The sequence below is a fragment of the Homo sapiens genome, chromosome 19, assembly GCF_000001405.40.
Source record: "Homo sapiens chromosome 19, GRCh38.p14 Primary Assembly".
Taxonomy (NCBI): domain Eukaryota; kingdom Metazoa; phylum Chordata; class Mammalia; order Primates; family Hominidae; genus Homo; species Homo sapiens.
In genome coordinates this window covers 18,419,728-18,441,921 of record NC_000019.10, presented here as the reverse complement: position 1 = coordinate 18,441,921, position 22,194 = coordinate 18,419,728, and the positions used below count along the sequence as shown (strand labels likewise).

At 63.9% G+C, this 22,194-nt stretch overlaps 2 protein-coding genes across 27 annotated transcripts in view, besides 17 other annotated features; one reads left to right on the top strand and one right to left on the bottom strand.

Moving 5' to 3' along the window:
- Positions 62-111: a silencer, noted in NCBI's record as "silent region_10402". NCBI's record gives its function as "represses an Ori minimal core promoter by ATAC-STARR-seq in GM12878 lymphoblastoid cells {active_cell/tissue: GM12878}" and the evidence as "EXISTENCE:reporter gene assay evidence [ECO:0000049][PMID:35858748]".
- Positions 905-964: an enhancer, noted in NCBI's record as "active region_14320". NCBI's record gives its function as "activates an Ori minimal core promoter by ATAC-STARR-seq in GM12878 lymphoblastoid cells {active_cell/tissue: GM12878}" and the evidence as "EXISTENCE:reporter gene assay evidence [ECO:0000049][PMID:35858748]".
- Positions 1,125-1,244: an enhancer, noted in NCBI's record as "active region_14319". NCBI's record gives its function as "activates an Ori minimal core promoter by ATAC-STARR-seq in GM12878 lymphoblastoid cells {active_cell/tissue: GM12878}" and the evidence as "EXISTENCE:reporter gene assay evidence [ECO:0000049][PMID:35858748]".
- Positions 2,590-3,576: an enhancer, noted in NCBI's record as "H3K27ac-H3K4me1 hESC enhancer chr19:18549156-18550142 (GRCh37/hg19 assembly coordinates)". NCBI's record gives its function as "activates a minimal SCP1, AML or CMV promoter by ChIP-STARR-seq in primed H9 embryonic stem cells {active_cell/tissue: H9 hESC(primed)}" and the evidence as "EXISTENCE:reporter gene assay evidence [ECO:0000049][PMID:30033119]".
- Positions 3,577-4,564: an enhancer, noted in NCBI's record as "H3K27ac-H3K4me1 hESC enhancer chr19:18548168-18549155 (GRCh37/hg19 assembly coordinates)". NCBI's record gives its function as "activates a minimal SCP1, AML or CMV promoter by ChIP-STARR-seq in primed H9 embryonic stem cells {active_cell/tissue: H9 hESC(primed)}" and the evidence as "EXISTENCE:reporter gene assay evidence [ECO:0000049][PMID:30033119]".
- Positions 3,712-3,931: a silencer, noted in NCBI's record as "silent region_10401". NCBI's record gives its function as "represses an Ori minimal core promoter by ATAC-STARR-seq in GM12878 lymphoblastoid cells {active_cell/tissue: GM12878}" and the evidence as "EXISTENCE:reporter gene assay evidence [ECO:0000049][PMID:35858748]".
- On the top strand, positions 3,789-7,534 carry ISYNA1 (inositol-3-phosphate synthase 1). 6 transcript variants are annotated; one of them, NM_016368.5, is made up of 11 exons: positions 3,789-3,829; positions 3,934-4,062; positions 4,162-4,323; positions 4,817-4,949; positions 5,045-5,238; positions 5,443-5,592; positions 5,675-5,890; positions 6,001-6,165; positions 6,246-6,359; positions 6,439-6,656; positions 6,805-7,534. In NM_016368.5, exons 2-11 carry the CDS (start codon positions 3,943-3,945, stop codon positions 7,007-7,009), a joined length of 1,677 nt encoding a protein of 558 aa, NP_057452.1. In that variant the 5' UTR covers positions 3,789-3,829; positions 3,934-3,942; the 3' UTR covers positions 7,010-7,534. The 6 variants fall into 6 exon arrangements, 4 of the variants coding, with proteins under 4 accessions (NP_057452.1, NP_001164409.1, XP_011526361.1 ...); NR_045573.2 differs by lacking the exon at positions 5,045-5,238; NM_001170938.2 differs by lacking the exon at positions 4,162-4,323.
- Positions 4,412-4,551: a silencer, noted in NCBI's record as "silent region_10400". NCBI's record gives its function as "represses an Ori minimal core promoter by ATAC-STARR-seq in GM12878 lymphoblastoid cells {active_cell/tissue: GM12878}" and the evidence as "EXISTENCE:reporter gene assay evidence [ECO:0000049][PMID:35858748]".
- Positions 5,492-6,389: an enhancer, noted in NCBI's record as "H3K27ac-H3K4me1 hESC enhancer chr19:18546343-18547240 (GRCh37/hg19 assembly coordinates)". NCBI's record gives its function as "activates a minimal SCP1, AML or CMV promoter by ChIP-STARR-seq in primed H9 embryonic stem cells {active_cell/tissue: H9 hESC(primed)}" and the evidence as "EXISTENCE:reporter gene assay evidence [ECO:0000049][PMID:30033119]".
- The window catches only part of SSBP4 (single stranded DNA binding protein 4), a 31,838-nt gene continuing 17,003 nt past the window's right edge, over positions 7,360-22,194 (bottom strand). For 4 of the 21 annotated variants that reach the window (XM_047438370.1, XM_005259790.4, NM_032627.5 and 1 more), the window contains exons 2-18: positions 14,499-14,571; positions 14,109-14,170; positions 13,940-14,024; positions 10,992-11,081; positions 10,504-10,569; positions 10,216-10,275; positions 10,060-10,129; positions 9,852-9,922; positions 9,708-9,775; positions 9,318-9,363; positions 9,187-9,222; positions 9,039-9,093; positions 8,879-8,949; positions 8,709-8,787; positions 8,309-8,337; positions 8,105-8,212; positions 7,360-7,705 (exon numbers count right to left, since the gene is read on the bottom strand). In XM_047438370.1, the coding sequence (XP_047294326.1) occupies positions 7,676-7,705; positions 8,105-8,212; positions 8,309-8,337; positions 8,709-8,787; positions 8,879-8,949; positions 9,039-9,093; positions 9,187-9,222; positions 9,318-9,363; positions 9,708-9,775; positions 9,852-9,922; positions 10,060-10,129; positions 10,216-10,275; positions 10,504-10,569; positions 10,992-11,081; positions 13,940-14,024; positions 14,109-14,170; positions 14,499-14,571 (1,099 nt within the window). In that variant the 3' untranslated portion in view covers positions 7,360-7,675. Of the gene's footprint in view, positions 7,706-7,989; positions 8,213-8,308; positions 8,338-8,708; positions 8,788-8,878; positions 8,950-9,038; positions 9,239-9,317; positions 9,364-9,707; positions 9,776-9,851; positions 9,923-10,059; positions 10,130-10,215; positions 10,276-10,503; positions 10,570-10,991; positions 11,082-13,939; positions 14,025-14,108; positions 14,171-14,498; positions 14,572-15,838; positions 16,803-18,627; positions 21,764-21,797; positions 21,907-22,194 lie in introns of those variants that run through there. The other 17 variants (XM_047438368.1, XM_047438374.1, XM_006722665.5 and 14 more) reach the window with 11 other exon arrangements.
- Positions 8,052-8,181: a silencer, noted in NCBI's record as "silent region_10399". NCBI's record gives its function as "represses an Ori minimal core promoter by ATAC-STARR-seq in GM12878 lymphoblastoid cells {active_cell/tissue: GM12878}" and the evidence as "EXISTENCE:reporter gene assay evidence [ECO:0000049][PMID:35858748]".
- Positions 8,252-8,691: a silencer, noted in NCBI's record as "silent region_10398". NCBI's record gives its function as "represses an Ori minimal core promoter by ATAC-STARR-seq in GM12878 lymphoblastoid cells {active_cell/tissue: GM12878}" and the evidence as "EXISTENCE:reporter gene assay evidence [ECO:0000049][PMID:35858748]".
- Positions 10,427-10,974: an enhancer, noted in NCBI's record as "H3K27ac-H3K4me1 hESC enhancer chr19:18541758-18542305 (GRCh37/hg19 assembly coordinates)". NCBI's record gives its function as "activates a minimal SCP1, AML or CMV promoter by ChIP-STARR-seq in naive H9 embryonic stem cells {active_cell/tissue: H9 hESC(naive)}" and the evidence as "EXISTENCE:reporter gene assay evidence [ECO:0000049][PMID:30033119]".
- Positions 10,975-11,523: an enhancer, noted in NCBI's record as "H3K27ac-H3K4me1 hESC enhancer chr19:18541209-18541757 (GRCh37/hg19 assembly coordinates)". NCBI's record gives its function as "activates a minimal SCP1, AML or CMV promoter by ChIP-STARR-seq in naive H9 embryonic stem cells {active_cell/tissue: H9 hESC(naive)}" and the evidence as "EXISTENCE:reporter gene assay evidence [ECO:0000049][PMID:30033119]".
- Positions 12,051-12,110: an enhancer, noted in NCBI's record as "active region_14318". NCBI's record gives its function as "activates an Ori minimal core promoter by ATAC-STARR-seq in GM12878 lymphoblastoid cells {active_cell/tissue: GM12878}" and the evidence as "EXISTENCE:reporter gene assay evidence [ECO:0000049][PMID:35858748]".
- Positions 12,461-12,850: a silencer, noted in NCBI's record as "silent region_10397". NCBI's record gives its function as "represses an Ori minimal core promoter by ATAC-STARR-seq in GM12878 lymphoblastoid cells {active_cell/tissue: GM12878}" and the evidence as "EXISTENCE:reporter gene assay evidence [ECO:0000049][PMID:35858748]".
- Positions 13,161-13,280: a silencer, noted in NCBI's record as "silent region_10396". NCBI's record gives its function as "represses an Ori minimal core promoter by ATAC-STARR-seq in GM12878 lymphoblastoid cells {active_cell/tissue: GM12878}" and the evidence as "EXISTENCE:reporter gene assay evidence [ECO:0000049][PMID:35858748]".
- Positions 17,578-18,077: an enhancer, noted in NCBI's record as "H3K4me1 hESC enhancer chr19:18534655-18535154 (GRCh37/hg19 assembly coordinates)". NCBI's record gives its function as "activates a minimal SCP1, AML or CMV promoter by ChIP-STARR-seq in primed H9 embryonic stem cells {active_cell/tissue: H9 hESC(primed)}" and the evidence as "EXISTENCE:reporter gene assay evidence [ECO:0000049][PMID:30033119]".
- Positions 18,078-18,579: an enhancer, noted in NCBI's record as "H3K4me1 hESC enhancer chr19:18534153-18534654 (GRCh37/hg19 assembly coordinates)". NCBI's record gives its function as "activates a minimal SCP1, AML or CMV promoter by ChIP-STARR-seq in primed H9 embryonic stem cells {active_cell/tissue: H9 hESC(primed)}" and the evidence as "EXISTENCE:reporter gene assay evidence [ECO:0000049][PMID:30033119]".

Below are 22,194 nucleotides of genomic sequence, written 5' to 3'. Positions count from 1 at the left end.
CAGGAGGTGATGTGACCTGGGGCCGCCATAATGATGAGAAAGGGTTGTTCAGGGGCTCTGGCTGGGACCAGATAAGAAGGCAGAGTTTGCAGCCTACCTGAGCCGTTGCCTGAGAAAGGACCAAATCAGAGGGCCCTGTAGGTGACGGGGAGCGCGGGGGTGGGGGCAGGCTGGGTCAGGGCGGAGGGATAGGGAGCCATAGCAGGTGTGTGAGCACAGCAGTACCCTCTGGTGTGGATAGGGTGGGCTGAACCCAGCATTGGGATTCCTTGGCCCCCTGTGGCACCAAAGGCTACAGGAGTGGGGCTGGGGGTGGGGGAAACCAGCTGTGACTGTCTCCCTCTGATGAAAGCAGCAGCAGGTAACGGTAATATTACCTGTTCTTCCCACACTGGGGCAGGGGCATCCCCTGTGCCACTAGTGGGGATGGGGAAAAGGCCTGACGGGAGCGGCGGTGGTGCAGGTGGAACGAGCCAGGGGCCATGGAGAACATAACACTCAACCTGCCAGCCAAGGACAAGAAGGGGTGCATTTAGTAAGCGATAACACCGAAGAATAGGACCGTGGGCAAAGGTCCTGGGCCTGCAGCTGTGGGGGGGGCCTGGCCTCCCTGCCCGTCCGTGGCCTTGGCCCAAGTTCTAAGGCCACCCAGGAATCTGAGGGGCGCGGGAGGGGAAGTCATGCAGCCCAGTGGGGCAGCGTGTACCCTGCTCCCAGCATAGCCTGGCCACGCTGTTCTCCCAGGATAACATCTCTGTCCCAACATCCCAGGGCCAACACCAACCTCCTGCAGCTCACGGTCCTGCCTCCCCCGGCCCTCCAACGCCAGCCCTAAGCCAACTGCCCAGCAATACTCTGGCCATCACCCCCGCAGCCTGCAGAGGCCACAGTCAGTCCCCTGACCTTCCTGAGCCATGGATGCCATCAGTCTAGTGCCCCGGATATTCAGGAGAGCCTTCCCACCCTCATGACCTGGGCACCCTGGTAGAGAGGGGCTCAGAGCTGTTAAACCCTCTCCTGCCACCTGCCAGGGGCCCCAATTGTCCTCTTTCAACGGGCACCCCTGTTCCTGCAGCCCCCTCCTGTACCAAGCTCCACCTGGGCTCTGCAACACAGCAGTGACTCAGCCTCATCCCTGCCTTCAGGGAGCCCACACTTTGCTGGGGAATAACAGTGCATCTCACCACCGACTTCAGCACACCCAGGCCTGACTGTAGGGGCCAAACCCCCTCCTTCGGCCTTGTCAACTGCTGGGAGTGGAAGCAGCCCAGCCTCTATGCCGATTCCCTCCAGCTGCCCTGTGCCAGCTCCCATCCTCCGGCACCCTCTACAGGTGGCCCTGTGAACACAGGCTCCCCGGGGCTGGGTCTTGGGACCTTCCTCATGTCTCTCAACTACACAGGTTCCTGAATCACGTGTCGCCTCGAGGCACAAACTCCCCGATTCTCTGATCCTCCAGTACCTACAGGATGTCCAACAGTTCCATTCCCAGAGATGGTATCGGACTCCACAAGTTATGGGGGTCAGTCCCACAGGGCTGCACCTGTGTCAGATGCCACCTATACTTCTGGCAAGCAGGCTAATAAATTGCGAGTTCCCATGACCCCACTTCAGGTTTGATAATTGCTGGAACAGCTCACAGAACTCCGGAAAATGCTCACAGCCAAATGGAGGAGGCGCACAGGGCAAGGTATGGGCGGGCCGTGAAGCTTCCATGCCTTTTCCAGGCATGCCACCCTCCCAGCCCCTCCATATTTTCCCCTAAACCCCATTTTTTTTTTGAGACAGGGTATTACTCTGTTGCCCAGGCTGGAGTGCAGTGGTACAATCATGGCTCACTGCAGCCTACACCTCCTGAGCTTAGGTGATCCTCCCACCTCAGCCTCCCACGCAGCTGGACTACAGGTGTGCGCCACCAAGCCCGGCTATTTTTTGTTTGTTTGTTTGTATTGAGACGGGGTTTCCCCGTGTTGCCCAGGCTGGTCTCAAACTCCTGGGCTCAAGCGATGCGCCCGCTTTGACCTCCCAAAGTGCTAGGATTACAGGCATGAGCCACCGTGCCTGGCTGACTGCCTATTTTTCGGCTTAGGTTCTATGAAGAATGTGTATCAATGTGTTGAAACACTGTAGATCTTAAAGGGAGCAGACTGGGTGGGGGAGGGGGGCCAGCCTGCCCAGACTTCCTAGACTCTGGGTAGCATTCCTTCCTCCAGGGTATGGGCAGGACCCTCCCGGAATGAGGGTCTTCAAGGGAGCAGGCAGAGAGTGACCTTTGCCGGCTTTGTGGCTTTTTTTTTGTTTTAAGGGGAGAAGGGCTCCAGTGTCTCTGACCTGCCTTGGGGAAGAGGAATTCTGGTTTCTATGGTTTCCAGGGGAGAAAGGGGCTAGAGGCAGGAGGGCAGGAGAAGGTCGGAGAGACTCGATTCTGAGCTTTCCGATGCCCTGCTCAAAGCGCGGGGCAGGCCAAGGCCCCATAACTTGAGGCTGAGGGGAGTTTCTGTGTTCTGAGCCCCAACTGTCTCATTTGCATATATGTGATTGATTAAATCGTTGGCCACTGGTGATTGAGCTCAATGTCTAACCAAGAACCAGGAACAAACACCAAATACTCTTTCACACTCCCTATCCCCAGCCCTCAGGGTCTGCCCAAGACCCCAAACTGCCTCCCACGTAGCCAATTTTTCATCTGCCCTGTCTGGGTGGCTCAGGTGGCTTGGCCTGTAGTTTTCTTTCAGTGAACTCCTCTTCATGTCTCAAAACCCTTGCCAGCAGCCCCCTCATCTGGGGAGCCTGTCTTGCAGGGGCCCTGCCTGTGAGTTCCCACCCACTGGGGCGGGGGTGTCCCAGTCCACTTCCAACTCCCTCAGACTGGGGCCCCTTCAGGGTGAGGCCTGGACCCAGAGTCTTAAGCCCTCATCCTCCAAGGTCAGGCCCTGTCTCTTGCAAACGTTCCCAACTATCCACCTTTTGGGCCAGCTCCAGTGGTGGAAACTTTCCGGCCTCCAGGCGCTTGTTTTGGAAAGTTCCTGGGGGAGCTGCCCCGGCCTGCCCGCTGGGTTCCCACGCTCCCTTATCAGCGCGCATGAGGGGGGCGCCCTGCAGTGCAGGCCTCATTCCTCCCCTGCCTCGGCCCTGCCCGCCTGTGCGTCCCCTCCCCTTTCCAGCGAACAGCCTCCCGCTCCGGCCCACTCCTGCCAAGCCCTCCTGCTGCAGGTGGGGAAACAGGCCAAACAGGCCCCATCCTTGTGAGCCCCGTGGGGACAGAGTGACTTTGTCCCCCGAGATGGATGGGGGCGGACATGGGGAGCCAGGGGATGGGACTGCCTGGTAGGTGCTGCTGCCCACGAAGGGGGAGTAGGTGGCAGTGTGGCTCCGAGGAGATTCTGGCTTTGGAGTTCTGGTCCTCTGCCTGTTTCCCCTGCAGTGTCTCTGACCCAGACCCCCTACCTACCCCCCCGGAGGCCCAGCTTCCCTGCCCAGCTCCACCCCCTGGCTTGTGGCTGGGCTCATGTGTAGCCTCATTGTCCTCTTGTAAAGGGGGGATAGGCAGCCATGAGCCCCTGGGGGCTGCGGAGCGAGCGAGGTGAACCTATACGCGCCGCGCTCGTGGACGCCTGGCCACTTCCGCCAGGCGGGGACCCGATGGCCACGGTGGCTCTGGGTTGTCGGGCCTCGAACCGGGTCTCCAGACGTTGGGCCCCTCCCTCCCAGCGCGGGAGAGGCGGGGAAGGGGGCGGGGCGGGGGAGGGGCCGCAGCGCTTTTCTCCGGAGGTCGCGCGCCCGAGAGCCCGCGCTGTCCGCCGCCGCTGCCTGAGTCGACTCTGCGCCGGTGAGTGCGGTTCGGGGCAGGGACGGCCTCCGTGGGGACCCAGGCTGGCTTGGCCCCGGCCGCTTAGAGTCCCCGCTGACCCCCTGCTCACCCCGGGCCCCCAGCCCGCCGCGATGGAGGCCGCCGCCCAGTTCTTCGTCGAGAGCCCGGACGTGGTCTACGGCCCCGAGGCCATCGAGGCGCAATACGAGTACCGGACGACGCGCGTCAGCCGCGAGGGTGGCGTTCTCAAGGTGGACCAGGGGGCTGAGGAAGGAGGCGTGCTGGGGAGAGCGGGGCGGCTCGGGGAGAAGGGCACGGGACCCGGGATTCACTGCGCGGCCTGTCTTCAGGTGCACCCCACGTCCACGCGCTTCACCTTCCGGACCGCCCGGCAGGTGCCCCGGCTCGGGGTCATGCTTGTCGGCTGGGGCGGGAACAACGGCTCCACACTCACCGCCGCGGTGCTGGCCAATCGACTGCGTTTGTCCTGGCCCACGCGCAGCGGCCGCAAGGTGGGGGCGGGAGGGGCGTGGTGGGTAGGGAGGCTTGGTGGGAGTCCTTGCGGGCGGGGGCGGGAGCCTGCAGGGGGCGGGGCTCTGCGGGACCAGGGGGGCTGTAGGGGGTGGGGTTCCGCGGGGCGAGGGGCTGCAGGGGCGAGGGACCTGCCCGGGTCTGGAGGCCTGTAGTGGGCGAGGGACCTGCAGGGGGCGAAGCTCTGTGGGGCGGGAGGGCTTGCAGGGGGCGGGGCCTGGCTGCAGGCGGACCCCGTGGAAGGGTTTCGCGAGGTAGCGGGGACTCCTCGGGAGTCTTACAGGGGCGGAGCTTAAGGTGCCGGAGGTCTCAGGGGAGGGGCCTGGGGGCAGCGGCTTCCGTCCTGGCTGTGAGCCTGGAACTGAAAAATGCCCGAAAGTGGGGCGGGGCTTGAGAGTCTAGGTGGGGCCCAGGCCGGGTCGCGGCCCTTTCACCACTCCCACCCGTCACCTCGCCGTGTCTGCTGACCCCCAGGAGGCCAACTACTACGGCTCGCTGACTCAGGCGGGCACCGTGAGCCTGGGCCTGGACGCCGAGGGCCAGGAGGTGTTCGTACCCTTCAGCGCGGTGCTGCCCATGGTGGCGCCCAACGACCTCGTGTTCGATGGTGGGCGGAGCCCTGGGCCGGGGTGGGGCGGGATGGGAGATGGGGTCTGGAGGGGCCCAGGATCCGGGCAGGGCCGAGTGTGAGGGTCCCCCCAGGCTGGGACATCTCGTCGCTGAACCTGGCCGAGGCGATGCGGCGCGCGAAGGTGCTGGACTGGGGGCTGCAGGAGCAACTGTGGCCGCACATGGAGGCCCTGCGGCCCCGGCCTTCTGTTTACATCCCCGAATTCATCGCGGCCAACCAGAGCGCGCGCGCGGACAACCTCATCCCAGGCTCGCGTGCGCAGCAGGTGCTGTCCCATCCCGCATCCCTTGCTTCCTGCCACCTGTTCTTCGCCACTTGGTTCCCTCTTTTTGCCCCACCCCGCGAATCCAGGCCTCACTTGACACCCGGGGAACTGAGTAGCCCAGGCCTCTGTGAGTCCGAGAGTATGTACAACCAACTTCCCTACACCCTCTCCATCCTCCCCACACCCTCACCATCCAACCCACAGCTGGAGCAGATCCGCAGGGACATCCGAGACTTCCGGTCTAGCGCGGGGCTGGACAAAGTCATAGTGCTGTGGACGGCGAACACGGAGCGCTTCTGTGAGGTGATTCCAGGCCTCAACGACACAGCCGAGAACCTGCTGCGCACCATTGAGGTGGGCGAACGCCCGGGTGGAGCGGGTCAGGCAGGGCCAGTCACAGACACAGCTCTGTGCTGACTGCCCGCCTTGCCCACAGCTCGGTCTGGAGGTGTCGCCCTCCACGCTCTTCGCCGTGGCCAGCATCCTGGAGGGCTGTGCCTTCCTCAATGGGTCTCCGCAGAACACCCTGGTGCCCGGAGCTCTTGAGCTCGCGTGGCAGCACCGGGTTTTTGTGGGCGGAGATGACTTCAAGTCAGGCCAGACCAAAGTCAAGTCCGTGCTTGTGGACTTCCTCATTGGCTCCGGCCTCAAGGTGCGTGGGCCTAGGGAGCTGCCGAGTGCAGGAAGGGGGCCTGGGCCGCGAGCACCTGGCTTGTGGGGCCGCAGGGCCTGCAGCTGCTGGGGCTTCCCTTGTACCCACAGACCATGTCCATCGTGAGTTACAACCACCTGGGCAACAACGATGGGGAGAACCTATCGGCGCCATTGCAGTTCCGCTCTAAGGAGGTGTCCAAGAGCAACGTGGTGGACGACATGGTGCAGAGCAACCCAGTGCTCTATACGCCCGGCGAAGAGCCTGACCACTGCGTGCGTGGGGCGCGGGCGCGGGCGCGGGGTTGCCCGGCGAGGGGTGGCAGGGACCCGGGCAAACTCCTGCTGCACTCCAGGTGGTCATCAAGTATGTGCCGTACGTGGGTGACAGCAAGCGCGCGCTGGATGAGTATACCTCGGAGCTGATGCTGGGCGGAACCAACACACTGGTGCTGCACAACACGTGTGAGGTGCGGCGCGGCTTCAGGGGCTGCTATGGGAGGCAGGGCTTGGCCACCGCCCCCATCTCCTGACCCACCCGCCCCGCAGGACTCGCTGCTGGCCGCACCCATCATGCTGGACCTAGCGCTGCTGACCGAGCTGTGCCAGCGCGTGAGCTTCTGCACTGACATGGACCCCGAGCCGCAGACCTTCCACCCCGTGCTGTCCCTGCTCAGCTTCCTCTTCAAGGCGCCACTAGTGCCGCCCGGCAGCCCGGTGGTCAATGCGCTTTTCCGCCAGCGCAGCTGCATCGAGAACATCCTCAGGTGCACCCCAGCCTCCAGGTTCCCGCCCGGGGCCCAGATACCCCCCTGGCTAAGCTATGCACAGGGCTTGGGGGGCTGTAGGTGGCAGGGATACCCCCCCTTTCTCCCTGTGGGTGTCTGGCTCTGCTAAGCTGTGTGACCTCTCCAGGGCCTGCGTGGGGCTCCCGCCACAGAACCACATGCTCCTGGAACACAAAATGGAGCGCCCAGGGCCCAGCCTCAAGCGAGTTGGACCCGTGGCTGCCACCTACCCTATGTTGAACAAGAAAGGACCGGTACCCGCTGCCACCAATGGCTGCACCGGTGATGCCAATGGGCATCTGCAAGAGGAGCCCCCAATGCCCACCACCTGAGGCCCCGGTCACACAGTTTCTCGGCTCTTCCTCCCCGCTGCCCCCCACGACCCTACCTTGAAGGCCCCCACAAATAAAGGCGCTGCCACTCAGCCCTCCTTCCACCTGGGGTTCTTGGGGCCTGTGACCTGACTCTGCCTCCCTCTACTTCCCCGACTCTTGAGCGCCCAGCTTCAGTCCCATCCCCTCTGCCCATGGTCATCACCCCAACTCCCAGGGAGAGCCCAGAACCTGGAGCCTCGCTCTGCCCCCAGTTCTCAAAGGTGGGGCTAGATGGGGGCGGGGACGGAACAAGACCACAGGGTGGAGAGTGTGGTGGCAGAAGGCCAAAGAGGGAATCTGAGACAAGCTACCAAAAACCAAAACCAGCTTCCATTTATTTATGGGCCCCACCCCCTGACGTCCTGGGGAGAGGGGCCCCCCAAAGAGCCTTTCTCTCTGGGACAAAATACAAATGGCAGGAAGGGTCCATACAGAAAAGAACGTCTCTGAGGTCCTTGCGTTTTTAATAAAATGGTAAGAGTCTTTCGTGTGGGGCCTCCCAGCTGGGCAAGCCTTGATTGGCCAGGAGTCCAGGTGCCCGAGGTGTGACCTCAGCCCCTCGCCCTGAGCAGGGGCGCTGGGCAGAAGCCTAGGCCCGCAGAGAGGCCCGGGGCTGCCGCCCCATCACACGCTCATGGTCATCCCTGGCGAGTACTGCGGAGAGAGGAGGGGGCAGCGCGCAGGGGCCGAGTTCAGCTCCGGAAGAGGCTGGGACCCGCCCCCAGGGACAATGGGGGACAGGGCAGGGCTGGGTCCTGGGCAGACATGGGGTGGGGACAGGAGGGAACGGGGGAGGGGCGATGCATGGGAAGGCCGCCCTGGGGCGCGGGTCCCGGGGTGGGGGCGGATGGGATCGGGACGGTGAAATAGGAGCGGGAGGTGGTGGGGGGTGGGGAGAGGTTGAGGAGAGGGAAAGGATGCCGCGGCCGCCCCCCCACCTGGCCCGCCGCGGTCACGGTCTTGCTCTGGCCCCCCGGCCGCCCCGCCGGGGCCTGCCCGCCAGCCCCTCCGGCCCGACGCCGCCGCGGGGGGGGAGTCGACGCAGTCGCTTACGCTTTCGCTCGGGAACGGGTGCAGGAAGGTCCCGGCGGCCGCCATCTCGCCGTCGTCCCGCGGGGTGCCCGGGGCGTTGCTCAGGCCGGCCACGGCGCCGGGGGAACTCTGGGGGCGGCCGCCGTCGGCTCGCAACTCCCCGCCCCGCCCCCTCCCCGCCACCCCCCCCGGATCCCACCCCCGGCAAGAGCGCAGCCTCCTTACCTTCGGCAACCCGTCCATGTCGCCCGAGCCTACAGACACGGACAGACACGGGCACCGGCTCAGACGTGCTGGCGCCATGCCCCTCGGCCTCCAGGGGCCAACGACCCTCGCAAGCTGCCCCCGCCGACGCGCCCCCGCCCCGCACAGCCCGCCAGGAACCCCGGGACTGAGGCCAGGTGGAGGGTTGGGCCTGGGGGGGAGGGGCGGTCAGTGCATCCTCTGGTTTGGTCGCTGGATCCCCCTCCAGCTCGGGGCAGCCCCTGTCACTGAGCGGCCCCCGGGGGGCTCAGGACGCCACTAGACGCCTCCACCCGGCAGGCGGGCTGACGGCAGGGGGAAGCAGCCAGGGAGCGCACGGGCCCGGAAGGCAACGTGGGCGGGAGCAGGGACGCCCACTCACCCAGGGATCCGTTCACGTGGTGAGGCTCCATCGCGCTCATGGCGGCCATGGGGCCCTCCGGGCCAGGGCCGAGCGGGAACTGCGGGCATGGGGACAGCGTGGGACTCGGGCCACCCATTCCCCAAGTGGGGTCACCGCCTCGAGAAGCACCCCTGCAAGCCCCCACTCACATTAGCCCTGCCGGCGCCCTGCCCGATGGGGTTCATGATAGTGTACATGTTTTCGCTGGAGTTGGTGGAATCTGGGGGAGACCAGAAGGGTGCCAGGTGTGACGGGGTTTCCCCCAAACACACCCACCCTAGCACACCCCCACCTCTTACTAGGCCATACCTCCAGGGCTAGGCATGATGGGTGTTCCAGGGGGCCCACCTCCTCCTGGGGGTCCCTGCACACAAGAGACAGGAACCGTGAGAAATGGCCCCTCATCTGCCATCCCACAACCCCTGCCCAGGGGTGACCCAGCTTTGCTCAGACTTACGGTGTAGCTGCCGGGGGATGAGGAGGAGTAGGGGATCTGGGGACAAGGGCAGCTGTGAGCAGTCAGCCAGGCGGCTCACCCAGTGTCCCTCCCACCCCACCCCAAGCCTGCCCACCCAGCCATAGGCTCACCGAGTTTCCACTGGGGCTGGCCCACGGGCCACGAACTCCTGGGCCCCTGGAAGAGACCGCGGATGACAGACTCTGGGGCTAGTCCATGTGGATCACAGCCCTCACCACACACCCCCCACACCCTGCTCCACTGTATCCCCAGACCGACCACAGAGCAGCAGATGTTGCTGGAAAAGTGGCCACCATGAGCTGCCAGGTTCCAATCCCAACCCATCACTGGCCCCAGGAGACTAATTGCTACTTCAAGTCTCAGTTTCCCCTCAACGGTGGCCATGAAATAAACAATATCCAAGGCTGTCCTGAGGATTCAGGACCTGCCCCAGCTGACCCAGCCATGAAGCTGGTGGTGGCCTGCGAACTGCACACTCCTAGGATCCCCCAGGGTCTTACATGTTCATGGCAGGCAGGCCTGGGCCGGCGAGGGAGTTGGGTGGGGGTCGCATGCCACCTCCATAGCTCTGCGGAGGCAAAGGGGCTGTGAGGGGTAGACCGGGGACAGCCCGAAGGCCCCACCCACCAGGGCTCCACTCTTACCTGGGGCCCCACGCTGGCCATGCCACGAGGAGGCGTCACCCTCTGCATTGGGCCGCCCATGCTCGGATGCCCTGGGGTGGGGCAGAAGGAAGGGGACTTGGACCTGGACCATTCCCCAGTGTGGACAGTGGGGAGGCAGCAAGGTCTGGGCTCTGAGAGCTGGAATTCTGATTGATGGCGGGATAGGGGCTGGAGCTTCCCTACTCACCCTGGGCTCGTGGGGAGGGCTCCATGGCGCCAGGGAGGAGGGGCTGGGAGCCAGGGAGGCCTGCGGGAGGCTGCGGAGGGGGTGCGGCGGCACTGAGTGTGGGGTGCTCCCTCCCCGGCCCAGCTCCTGCCCGCCCTCCCCTCATCCCTTTCTCACCTGACTCGGCATCCGCAGGGTGGGCCGGGGGCCCCCTGGGAAGCGCGGTGACATGAAGGGCTGGAAGAGGTGGGCGGGGATCAGCACCTTCCCCCACCCTCTGGTCCCCAAAGCTACCCCATTCCTGCTATGCTGGGGCCCCCGACCTGGGGAGCCCCCTCCTCCAGAACCAGCCAGCAAAGCCCGGCCAGCTGGCACCAGCCAGGACCTCATGGCTTGAGGGTGGGAGGGGGCGGCGCTGGGGGAGGGGATGTGTGTGTGTGAGGGGCAGGCACCACAGCTCCTTACCTGACCGTGAGGCCCCATCATGGGGGCGTTGGGGTTGTGGGGGGACGGCTGGGAGCCGGGGGGGCCCTAGGAGGACAGAACCAGGTGGGTGGGGGGGAGTGAGGCCCTACTGGGTTTGGCTGAGGAGGGGAGGGGCTCCATGGAGGCAGAGGGGTGGGCCAGCCTGTGGGACAGGGACCTTGTGGGAAGGCTTGAGGGCAGGACTCAGGCACCAGTGGTCACCAGGACCACTGTGGCTACTGCATCCCCAAGCACCCTGTGCGCACACATGTGCAGGCCAAGTGCACAGACACCCACCCTCCACTGCACTCGGGCCCTCCCTCGCTGGCCCCTGAAAGGCCCACCTGGGCACACCTGCGGCACAGAGGACCCTCCCACCCAACTCCAGCCTGCCGGCCTCATGACCTCTGCCCACGTGGGACCCCCCCCACCCTCAAACGCATGTTCAGCCAGAGTTGGGGGCCAGTGGACTCCAGCCGGGGCCATACCTGGAAGAAGCCAGCCGCCATGGAGCCTGCGGCCATTGTGTCACCTGGGGCCATACTCCCCATAACGGGGCTGGGGGCGGCTGCAGCACTCTGTAAGGGTGCGGGAAACCCAGAGGGCCAGGTCAGGACACCTGGACACTTCCTACCTGGGGTGTGCCCCCCCTCTCTGCAGGTGGCCGGCCCCATGGGACAGCGAGCTGGCATTGGTCAGTGAGCACACTGGGGTTGTCGGCCTGAGGATCTGTGGGTCTGAAGACCCTGTAGGACGCAGGATCCAGTGTCGCCCTCGTTTCTCACAGACCTGCTCCCCACTCCAGACCCATCTCAACTGGCCCTGCATCGTCCTGGCTGGCAGGGCAGCTCAGCTGGGTCCCCAACTCTACTCAGGACCCCCCAAATAAACATACACACAAATATACCGGCAGTTTCAAGAGCCTCCCTGAAGGCTCCACCTTAGAACAAGTGTAGACCCCTGCCCCACCCCACCCTGCCCTTCGTCCAGGAGGGAGGGTGAAAAGCAGGATTCTGGGGTGGGGTCCCCATCCCCCAGCCTCTCTCAGATGGAGAAGGCGACAAGACAGGGTGCTGGAGAGGGGGCTTCCTGTATCTGCCAGAAATTGTGGTGGCAGCCCAGACCTGGCCGGGGACCAAGTTCTAGACCTGTCTGCTATGGGGCCTACAGGGTCTGGCAGGGGGAAGGTGGGGAGGGGGATGTGAGGTGGGAAGGGAGGCCCAGTCTATGAGGGCAGAGGAACACGTCTGGGGACAGGGAGGGGAGAACTTCTCTCCTGGCCCCTGTCTGTATGGTCCAGGCCAAGCCCCAAACCCCAAAAAGAAGGTGATGGGCTCTCTCTGGGGTCGGCCCAAGCCAGCACACAGGGACACTCAGGTGTTTGTGGCATGAACTACAGCCACTTGGGCTCAGAGAGGTTGAGCACTCTGCCTACAGTCACACAGCGTTTCCTGCCCTCAGGGACTGCTGCAAGGGGCCCCCTGCCTAGAGGAGGGCTCCTGGAGAAATCCTCCCTCCCCCTGTGGGGCTGCGGGTTGACCCCTTCCTGCCCCTTCTCTGAGGTTAGCCTCAAGCCTCCCGCCAGGGTCCTAAACTGGGGGAGGGGCTGGAGGCGGGAGCCCCCTAAGCCCACCGTGACGGCGAGCACTCCCAAGGCCCAAAACAAATCCTTCGAAAGCCCTCGTGCCCTACTCCTGTGCCACTTTCTCAGTTCCAAACTTCCAGGTCCCCTCTGGGCTCTGGCCCCCACCCCGCCCCCTCCCGCAAACACAATGGCCTGGAGCAGCTGCCCTCCCAGGCGGCCCCTCCGGTCCACTCCCCGAGGGTGGGGAGGGGGCACCTTTGAGCCCTGTGTCTGTCCACCCCGCAGGGAGGGCAATCCCCTCACGGGCCACAGCGGGTGCCTGAGCGTTTCCTGGTCGGGGACGCTCCACCGCACCCCCCCCCCGCCCCCTGCGACCCGCAGCTTCCCAACTCTAGGCCCTGAGCAGTTAATCCCGGGCGGCGCGCCCTCCCCGGCGGTTGGCCCGGGCCAGACCCCCTACGTCAATCATCCCTGAAGAGGAGCCGGCCCGGCCCGCGTTGCCATGGCGATGGGCTGGGCGCTCCGGCGTTTCCTGGAGACGCCAAGGTCGGCAGGGAGCCGGGGAGGGGCGAACAGAGCCCCCCCCGCCCCCCTCCCCCGCCTCGGAGGGCGAGAGAGGAAGGGGCCGCCTCCGTGCAGGCTCGGCGGGCAAGGCGCCCCCAGTTAGAGCGAGAGCAACGGAGGCGACGGCCCGGCATGACGAGTCCCCGCGGGGATTCGGTCACCCCAGGGCTTGGGCGGCCTCCGCCCTGGGCCCTGCGGTCTACGCTCTGCGCCGGCGCTGCCATGGTAACCGCTGCGCGCCTGGGAAGCGCGTTCACGCCGACTCTCCAGCTCCGCCCTCCTGGCCCGGCGGGGGGCGCCCAGAGAGGATGCTAGACCCAGACGGCAGGGATGGGGGCAGAGTCGCCCAAGTCCACAGCTCCAGACACCCCCGGGGCCCCAGATCTAGCGGGACTAGGACAAGGGGACCACACACGAGTAGTGGGACACCATGGGGGTGAACAGCAGTGACGCCAGGAGGGCTTCAGCCTGCCCAGCTCTCATGCAGAGTGCTGGAGGCATCTTCAGAGACATGGGCGCCCCACCCCTCGGGCCGCCTCTGCCTTGCTGGGGCCTGCGCTCTGGCGCACAGGGGGTAGGGGGTGGGCGGGACTGGCGCCCCCCAGACGCCCACCGGCAGAGCCGGCACCTCCCCCTCAGACCCAACAGAGGGGGCCAGGTGGTCCAGCGCAGAGGATGAAGGGAAGGGCTGCCATCTGCTGCCCCATGACAACAGGAGGCTGCCATCCCCTAGTGTTAGCCAGGCAGCCTCCACTCCAGGCCGGCCTCTGACCTTTTCCAACCCAGAGGGAAAATGACAGCAGAGAGGGAGTGGGCAGCTCCAGATACCTGGCAAGGTCAGAAAGTGTCCCAGTGCCTGGCCCATCAGGCACCCCGACCTGTGCTCCCCGCTCAGAGGAGCAGCAGTGACCCCCAATGCACACACGGCAGAGGAGGGGGAAGGCAGTGAGCTTCCCCCATCTCCACGCAGGCTCACATGAGATGCGGGGAAATGGCACCCCCCAGTGCCCCAATGGGGGTGGGAGGGCTGTGGGGACCCTCAGAAGTGTGTGCAGTGGAAAGAGCTTTCCCTTACTCTGTGAGTGACCCTGGACCAAGTGGAGGGTGGAAGGACCCCCCAAAAGTGGCCAAGAGCCTGAGTGGAGGCTGCAGCTCTGCCTGTCAACCCCAAACTGCCACCATCCCCAGCCCTCCTCTGGCTGTGCAGCCCCCCACCCCACCTCCCCAGCCACAGGCCCAGCACACCTCCCGCCCTGGAGCCCCTGAGTCCCTGGGGCCAGGACTCACATAGTCCTGGAAGGCCTTGGCCTCGCCGGAGTGCTCGCAGGCCTCTCTTCTGTCAGGCGCCGCGCAGTACAGGTCCCAGAAGACGCTGTGGGCCAAAGGGGAAGATGGTTGCTCCACGTGCCTCCCTCAACCCCCTTCCACAGCCCACCCACAGCAGCCCAGCCCGTACCACCACCAGGAGTGCAGGAACCCAGGGGGCTCCCCCAGCGTGATGTTCTTCTCCCATCGGATCTGCAGGGAAAGGAAGGTGGTGAGGGGGTGGCCCTACCTGACCCTGCCCCACCACCCAGCAGGGTGCCCAGAGAACATCTGGGCAGGGAGGGAGTGGGGAGGGAAGGGTAACAGGGTGGGCAGAGGGCCCCAGGATGTGTGGCAGGTCCCGGCTGGGCATGTGGACCAGATGCCTGGATGCTAGCCCAGGGCCTGGACCCTGCAGAGCCCTCAGTTCCCAGGGCCATCAGAGGGGCAACGCGGGCCCACCCCCTGGATCCCCAGTGGAAATGAAGGACCCCCGGAGTGTGGGTGAGGAGGGAGGGCCAGCCTGGAGGTGGTGGCTTACCTCAGACAGGAAGGTCTGGGCTGACTTCTGGGCACCGATGTGCAGCAGGTACTCATAAACGTACAGCGCCAACCTGTGGGGGCGAGGCGGCCCAGGGAGCTCAGACTCTCCAAGGCAAGGGCCCACCCCAAAGCCCCTCCATCTCTCAGGAGGGCGGGTGGAAAGGTGGCCTCCCCACCAGCTGCTCAGCAGGGACAGCTCATAGTTATCCATCTATGTCCTGCAGGCCCCTCCCAGGCATCCGTGACCCCCAATTCCGGGCCGAATTCGGCTGTGTTCCACGCTCCCTCGAGGACCAAGTCCTGGCCATGTCCTGCCAACACTGAGACTCCAGAGAGGCCTCAGCGCTGGGGAGGTCTCCTCCATAGAGGAGTGTCATTCCTGTGTGTGTGCAGGGTGGGGACGACCACTGGGCACCCTGGGCCATGTAGTGTGCTCAGGGCCCACCTCCAAACTCATCCCCAGCCTCCCCGGCCCAGGAAGGAAGGAGGGAAGGGGTCCTCCACCCCACATCCCCTGCAGTCCCTGGACCCCATCTCTTCCTTGGGGAAGAGATGCCCATCCACCATGGTGGCCTCAACCCTTTCTGCAGACTGTCCCCAGTCAGGGCAGTGCTGAACCTGGGGCAATGTCTGGGGAATGGAGGTGGGGGGCCAGGGGAGGTAGGGCCTGCAGTGCCATGTCTGCAGTGGTGCTGCCCTACCCAAACACCCACAGGGCTCTGCGCGAGTCCCCAGCCTGCCAGGGACCCCTGGACTCACCCTCCCAACCACTGTGCACCCCAAGGGCTTGGACCTGAGTCACCCTCGCCCAGCCAGGTGGCTCCAGCACGGCCCTCTGCAGGTCACAGGGGGAGGCCGGACTGTCCACCCCGCTCCAGTCCAGCTGCCACACCAGAGAGCAGAGGACAAACCCCCTATCCAAAGGGTCGCCCAGTCCTGTGGCACCAGCCCTTCTGGACCTCCCTGGAACTGAGCCGCTCCCTGCTCAGAGCTCTTGTACTGTCCAGCTAGGGACCACGAGAGTCTGCTGGGGGTTGGGGGACTCTTAGATTCAAGACAGGGTACCAGAGGGCCAGCCTGAGGCTGAGCCCTAGAGGCGAGAAGCAGGCAGGCCTGGGGGCCCTTCCACAGCCGCCTCCAGCTCAGCTGCGCCGCCCTCTCTGGCTGCGGGCCCCATCCTAAAATAACCTTCCTTTGACTCACGCTCTGCTCCCTCCCAGCCAGGCTGCTCCAATCCTAGCACCCACCACCCATCAGGGCCCCCAAGTCCCTTTCAGATTTCCAGTCCTCCTGTTCCTGCCCCGGCCCCTAGAGAACATGGGGACTTCCTGCCCCCACCTGGTCCTCATGGGCACTGCCCTTGCCCCAAATCTCATCCTGCCTCCCCTCCTTCGTTCATTCACTTCTTCATTAGTTCCTCCAGCATCCATGAAGTGCCTTTTGCGCAGTGCACACACCCGGCCCCTGTCCTGGAGGCCATGTTCTTGAGGGGAGAGACAGAGACAGGCAATACCTGTCAAGAGAGGTGAGCTCTGTGGCAGCTTGGAAGGCGCTGAGGCTACGGAAAGGCAAGTGGGGGGGTGACATCAGGGAGGGGAGGCGGTCCAGGGTGGAGTGCGCCAGGCTCACACTGCACCACATGAGCTGTGAAGGCCACCCCAGGGGCAGGGATGGGGCAGGACACACAGCGCCCAATGGTCACCCCTGCATCATCACAGCACTCTTGAAGAGACTGCCCCCAGCCCAGGCCCTGCTAGATCCTGACCTCCACCCCTCCAGTCTCCCACACCTGCTCTTCCTCCACTTTCCTGGCCCGGCGGCCTGCAGGCCCACCTGTCTAGCTCACTTCTGTGGCACCCTGGCCCATCTAGAGGCTTCTGAGCTTTTCCCTGTGGCTAGTGGCTGACAGGCCTGCGTCCATCAGTGGAAGGGGAGCACACAAGGCCAGGGTGAGCAGGTTCCAGGGGCAGACCGACTAGCCTGGGGAGCCCAGTGCCAACCCACCTGCCAGGTGTGGAAGAGAGTTCCCACCCCAGCCACTTAGGGGTCAGAGCAGGGGGCATGAAAGGCCAGAGTGGGGTAAGACAGAGTTGCAGGAACGCTGGTGAGCGGCCCCGGGAGGGCGGGGGCAGCGGGAGGTCCTGCTGAGGCTGCATTCTGGGTACCCCACACCCAGGGCACGGCTGTCCAAAAGGCCCAGGGGGACTCCTGAAGGAGGGGGCTGCGAAGGGTTCTACCTGCCTTCCTTGTCTCCTGTTCCTCGACTGTCCCCATAAGTGCCTAACCCAGGAGGTGGCCCCCTAGAGCCCACCCCGCCCTCTCCGCCCCCTCCTGCTGTCCTCCTGCCTCCAGCCCCCGCCCCCGGCTACCAGCTCTGTCTTCTCCTCTGCTCTCCCTGTGTGGCCGCCCGTCCTGTTTTGATGATGCCTTCAAGTAGGGGCTGTCCAGAGGGTGCTATGGCCTGACCTTCCCCAAACTTGGGATTCCCTGTTCACTTGACATCTAGAGGCCCAGCCTCGACACCCTGAGCCCCCACCCCTTCCCCATTCTCCCCCTCCCTGCTCAGAGACTGTCAGCTTGGCCTTTACACATGCATCCTGTCCAAGGAGCCTCTGGTGGCGTGCGCACAGGCGTGCACCTGTGTGAGATCCACCCAGCTGTCCCCAAACATCACTGCGTTTAAAAAAACACCGAAGGAAATCTCTTTCCTGACTTGGGCCCCTCTCCCCACCTCCACTGCACACCTGGGCCAGGCCACCCACCGTCTCCCACCTGGATTACGACAGAGTCCCCTCCAGGTGCTGCTCCCCCCACCCCCATGTTCCTTGTTCAAACCCTCCTGTGCCGCCCCCCGCCCCGACCCACACACTGGCTGCCCTGTCACCCCAGGGCCTCTGCGCACTGTTTCCCTGCCTGGGGCACTTCCACCCAGAGACTCCAGTGTCACCTCTCGGGGCTTCACTGTCACATGGAAGCCCCCACCCTGCTCCGTCTCCTCCATCTGAGAGTCTCTGTCTTGGGCCCCCAATGGAATGTAGCTTGACGTGGGGCGGGGACTTGGAGTCTGCTCACTGCAACGACCTTAGAATGGAGCTGGGCATCCTGGGCCCCAGTCACCCCAGTGAATGAACAAACCGGCCCGGGGACCCCCTCCTGGGATGCCGGGAGGATTAGGCGAACCATGGGGTAAGTACTGATGAAGGTCAGCAGCTATTCTGTCCATACTGAGGATTTGGGAGTTTATCCTGGGAGCGATGGGAGGCCAAAGGAAGTTTTCGGTTTTGCTGATTTCCCTTCCACATTGGTCCTTTTATTTTAAACAGGATTCAGTCTCCAGGGAAGAACTGTGGGTTGTTATTGTTTTGGGTGAAAAGTTTTGAAGCCTGGCTGTTCGGCCAGGGAGTTTTGGGACCTACAAGGTCCTCCCCTCCCAGAGGACTGCTCCGGGGGCCAGGTCTGGGGGCGCCACCGGTTGGGGCCCTGAGCTCAGTTATAGGGAAGGGCTCTGGATGCAAATCACCCATGCCCTCTGCCCCCCACCGGCCACCTGCCCTGGGCCGGTACAACCTCTCAGGGCCTGTCACCTATGAGGGCTCCCTGTGTCACACAGGCAGGTGGCCAGAAAGGAAAACAGGGAGGCACCCGGAAGAGCAGCAGGCAGCTCTCCCTGCAGAAGGAACACAAGACTCGGAGGACATGGGGCGCCTGGACCTGGAGCGAGCATGAGGCTGTGCAGGGAAGCAGAGCCAGGATGGGGTGCTAGCGCCTGGTGGCCTGAAATGTACCACAGCTACCACCGTAATGACGCGAGTTACCATAATTACCCAGAATGGCTGCAATGGATGCTCCCTGCTCAGCGCCTTCCTAGACACAGATGCTGCTGGGGCAGGAGACACCTGCCACTCATGGCTTTGTGTCACCTTGCCATCCGTCACCAGGTCTCACTCCTGACCCTCCAACCCTCGCCGTCCTCCCTCCCCTCTGCCAACCCTAAAGGCCAGGCCTCTGGCAGCTTCTTGGCAAAGTGGCGGCCTCTCCTTACTACCCTCCACACCTGCCCCTCATAGCCATTTCCAGCCAGGGGCCAAAATGACCACGTCCAATCGTGAATCCCATCCCTGGCTTACCTGCCAGGCTGATGAACAAGCCACCGACATCCATGTGCCGGCTCAAAATCAAGCCCGGGAGAAACCCACGAGCTGCCAGGCAACACCAACCATGGCTGTGATTCATGGACCTCTTCTCAACCTGCCTGGCAACACTTGAGTGCTGAAGGATATACACATGCCCCTCTTCTTGCAAGTGGCCCACTCAGACCCCAGCCTCCCTCAGCCCACTCTGCTGCCCCTGCACTCCACAGTCACTGCCATCTGCTGCGAGCCCCCGAGGGCAGGCACCCACCAGGTGCTCGGTCCCTTTCTGGAGCCAGCTGGCCGAGACCTAGTGTAAGCCGGGAAGGCCTGTAGGCTCCAAGGGCAGCCAGAAGGGGCTCAGGATTGGGGCCAGAGAGAGAAGGAAGGATATGCAGCGCCTCATTTTTAGGAGGCATGAGGCTCATTGCAGGAAGAAAAGTGCAGTGCTGGAGAGTCAAGGTTTGGAGCAGTGTAACCTCTTCACCCCATTTCACAGAGAAGGAAACCGAGGCCCAGAGGCAGGAAGTGGCTTGCCCGAGGCAGATACTTCCTGAGAGCCGCGTGGCTGCCCCGGCAGGTGCTCTGCCTACGGGCTCCCACCCAGTCCTTGCAAAGATCCTGAAAGATGGGTCGTCCACATTTCACATGAGGAAACTGAGGCCTGGGGCTGCCTCTGAGAGCTCATCTGTGCCAGAGAAGCTGAGTTCTCATCAGGTGGCTTCCTCTCCAGGGCCCTGGTGTCCCTTTCGTTGAAATGGGTGCATGCGGCCATCTGGCGTTTTCCAGGCTTTCTTTCATAGAGGAACCTCACCTCCAAACCAACACTTATACGAGACCCTCTCCGTGAAATGGAAGCATGCAGGCTGGCTCTGACCAAAGATGGGCCCTGCAGCCTCCCCACTGGCAGCTGAGGGACTTCCGAGAGCCTTGAGTCCCGAGGCCAGTGTCCCCAAAGCACCTCTGCTGGGCAGGTTGGGGAGTGGGAGGACAGTATGGGAAGGGGGCCAGGAATGCAGCTAACCCCCTCACCCTACCACCCCCGGCTCAAACCTATGAAATCTCTTCCTTCTTACTTGGGTCCAGGCTGCCACCAGCTCTCTTTCACTGTTTTTCTTTTTTGTTCTTTTTGAGATGGAGTCTCGCCCTGTCACCCAGGCTGGAGGGCAGTGGCACGATCTCAGCTCACTGCAACCTCTACCTCCTAGGTTCAAGCGATCCTTTCACCTCAGCCTCCAGAGTAGCTGGGATTACAGGCACCCGCCACCATGCCCGGCTAATTTTTGTATTTTTAGTAGAGACAGGGTTTCATCATGTTGGCCAGGCTGGTCTCGAACTCCTGACCTCAAATGATCCACCCACCTTGGCCTCCCAAAGTGCTAGGATGATTATAGGCGTGAGCCACCACGCCCGGCCTCCCCAGCTCTCTTTCAGACAACTGTGTCCACATCCCCAGGGCCTCCCAGCCTCTGTTCCTGACCCCTATAAGCCCCACTCCACCTGGGAGCCAGAGCGCACTTCTGCACACACAACCCACTGGGGCCCATCTGGCACTCTTGCAGGCTGCCTCTTCCTCCACCTGGGCCCAGCCCCAGCTCCTTTTCCTGGTCCCATATCAGGGCCTTTGCACTTGCTGTGCCCTCCACCTGACATCCCCTCACCCTTCGCTATCTATCATCCACTTTGCTTTCTCCTGCTAACTGGATACCTGCCTCCCTGCTGGGGTGGGGGCTTCTTCAGGGCCACCGACCCTGCCATCCCGACCGGAGCCTGCCTTCCCGACTGCCACACCCAGGGACACCCAGGGCAGATATGCTGAATCAGTGAACGATCCCGATTCCCACTGGGTGGGTGGATGCCTCCAGAGCCAGCAGCTGCCTGGAGACACACAGGAGACAGACCAGGGGTCCAGGGGTGACCATGGCAGACACCTCCTGCTTCCGACCTGAGCAGGAGCCAGAGGCCAGTTTCAAAAAGTCTTTGGGCTTAAGGGTGCTTGGAAATGGAGCTCATCTTCCTAACTGCACACAGGCAAGGGAGGCCTGACAGTGCAGTCATTTGCCTACCACCTTCTAGCCAGAAGAGCCTCTTCTCCAAAATGACCCAGAGGCTGGGCAGAGGGGACAGGCATCTTTGTGGAGGGGTGGGGCATCCCAAGTCAGCCTAGGCAGAAGAGGCAGGATGGGGGACACTCAGCCAACGTCCAGGGCTCCTCTCCAGCACCCAGACATTCAAGTCCTCACTCCTGGCCTGGCCCTCAAGGCAGGTCCTCATGGGACCCCTCCCTGCTGACCCAGCCTCCTCTCTGCTTGGGTGGCCAGTTCCACACCACGGGCCACTCCAGGTGGCTCAACTTCAAGGATCCTGGAAGTCCCCCATCAGCTATGACAAGACTCCCCTCCTCCTGGGCACTGTTTTTTTGTTTTTTGTTTTTTTTTTTTGAGATGGAATCTGGCTCTGTCGCCAGGCTGGAGTGCAGTGGCGTGATCTCGGCTCACTGCAACCTCTGCGCCACGGGTTCAAGGGATTCTCCTGCCTCAGCCTCCCGAGTAGTTGGGACTACAGGCGCCCACGCCCAGCTAATTTTTGTATTTTTAGTAGAGACGGGGTTTCACCATGTTGGCCAGGATTGTCTCGATCTCTTGGCCTCGTGATCCGACCGCCTCGGCCTCCCAAAGTGCTGGGATTACAGGCGTGAGCCACCGCGCCCGGCCTCTGGGCACTTTTAACAACACTGCAAACTGCCCCGTGCCCTTCCTGCGGGACGGTCACTGCTCCAAGCACCTTTCAAATGCTTTCCACCCGGAGAGCACACTCGGCTGACTCCCCACCCCGAGAGACCTCAGCCCCACCACGACCCTTCCTCCATCCGCACGGTGGAACCTGCCCCTACCAGCTTCAGAGCGCCTGGTACCCACGGCCTGGAGCCACGCCCAGAACAAAAGGGGCCCTCAGTATGCACTCTTCAGTGGTATCAAGAGAGCGGCTCCGTCGTCCCCACCCGCCCCTGGACTGTGAACCGTGCGGCTTCCCCAGGGGCCCCACACAGCTGCTGGGGCCAGGGCAGACAGGTGGCGGCGCGCCCCTCCAGCCGCTCTCCAGCTCTACCCCAGGCGACTGGGGTCCCCGAGCCGACACTCTTGTTCGTCCCGGAAAACTTCGCTGACCTCGATCCCCATGCGTCCGCAGCCTCGCGCACCCACGTCTCGAGGAGGCCTCGCGACCCCCGAGACCCGCTCGGGGATCTCGCGCGCCCCCTCAAATCTCGCGCCCTCGGGTTTCGCGCGCCCCCGCCAATCTCGCGACCCCTGGAGCCGCTCCGGTCTCGCCCGTCCACTCCCGTCTAGCGCCCCTCGGGTCGCCCGCCAACCCTCAACTCCGGCGACCCCTCAGGGTCTCGCGCGCCCCCCGCCAATCTCGTGCCCCTCGGGGGTCGCGCGCCCCCGCCAATCTCGCGACCCCTCGAGCGCGCTCAGGCTCGCGCTCCCCGCCGCCCGCGCCCACGTGCCCCGCGCGGTGCCCGCCCGCGCCGGAGCCCACGGAAGAGCGCGGACGCCGAGCCCC

Excerpts from the sequence above, each read along its gene's own strand:
- ISYNA1 (XM_011528059.3), top strand. The coding sequence starts at position 3,943 with ATGGAGGCCGCCGCCCAGTTCTTCGTCGAGAGCCCGGACGTGGTCTAC. Across the intron at positions 4,324-4,816 it reads CCACGCGCAGCGGCCGCAAG|GAGGCCAACTACTACGGCTC; the intron begins GTGGGGGCGGGA and ends GCTGACCCCCAG. Across the intron at positions 6,657-6,804 it reads TGCATCGAGAACATCCTCAG|GGCCTGCGTGGGGCTCCCGC; the intron begins GTGCACCCCAGC and ends TGACCTCTCCAG.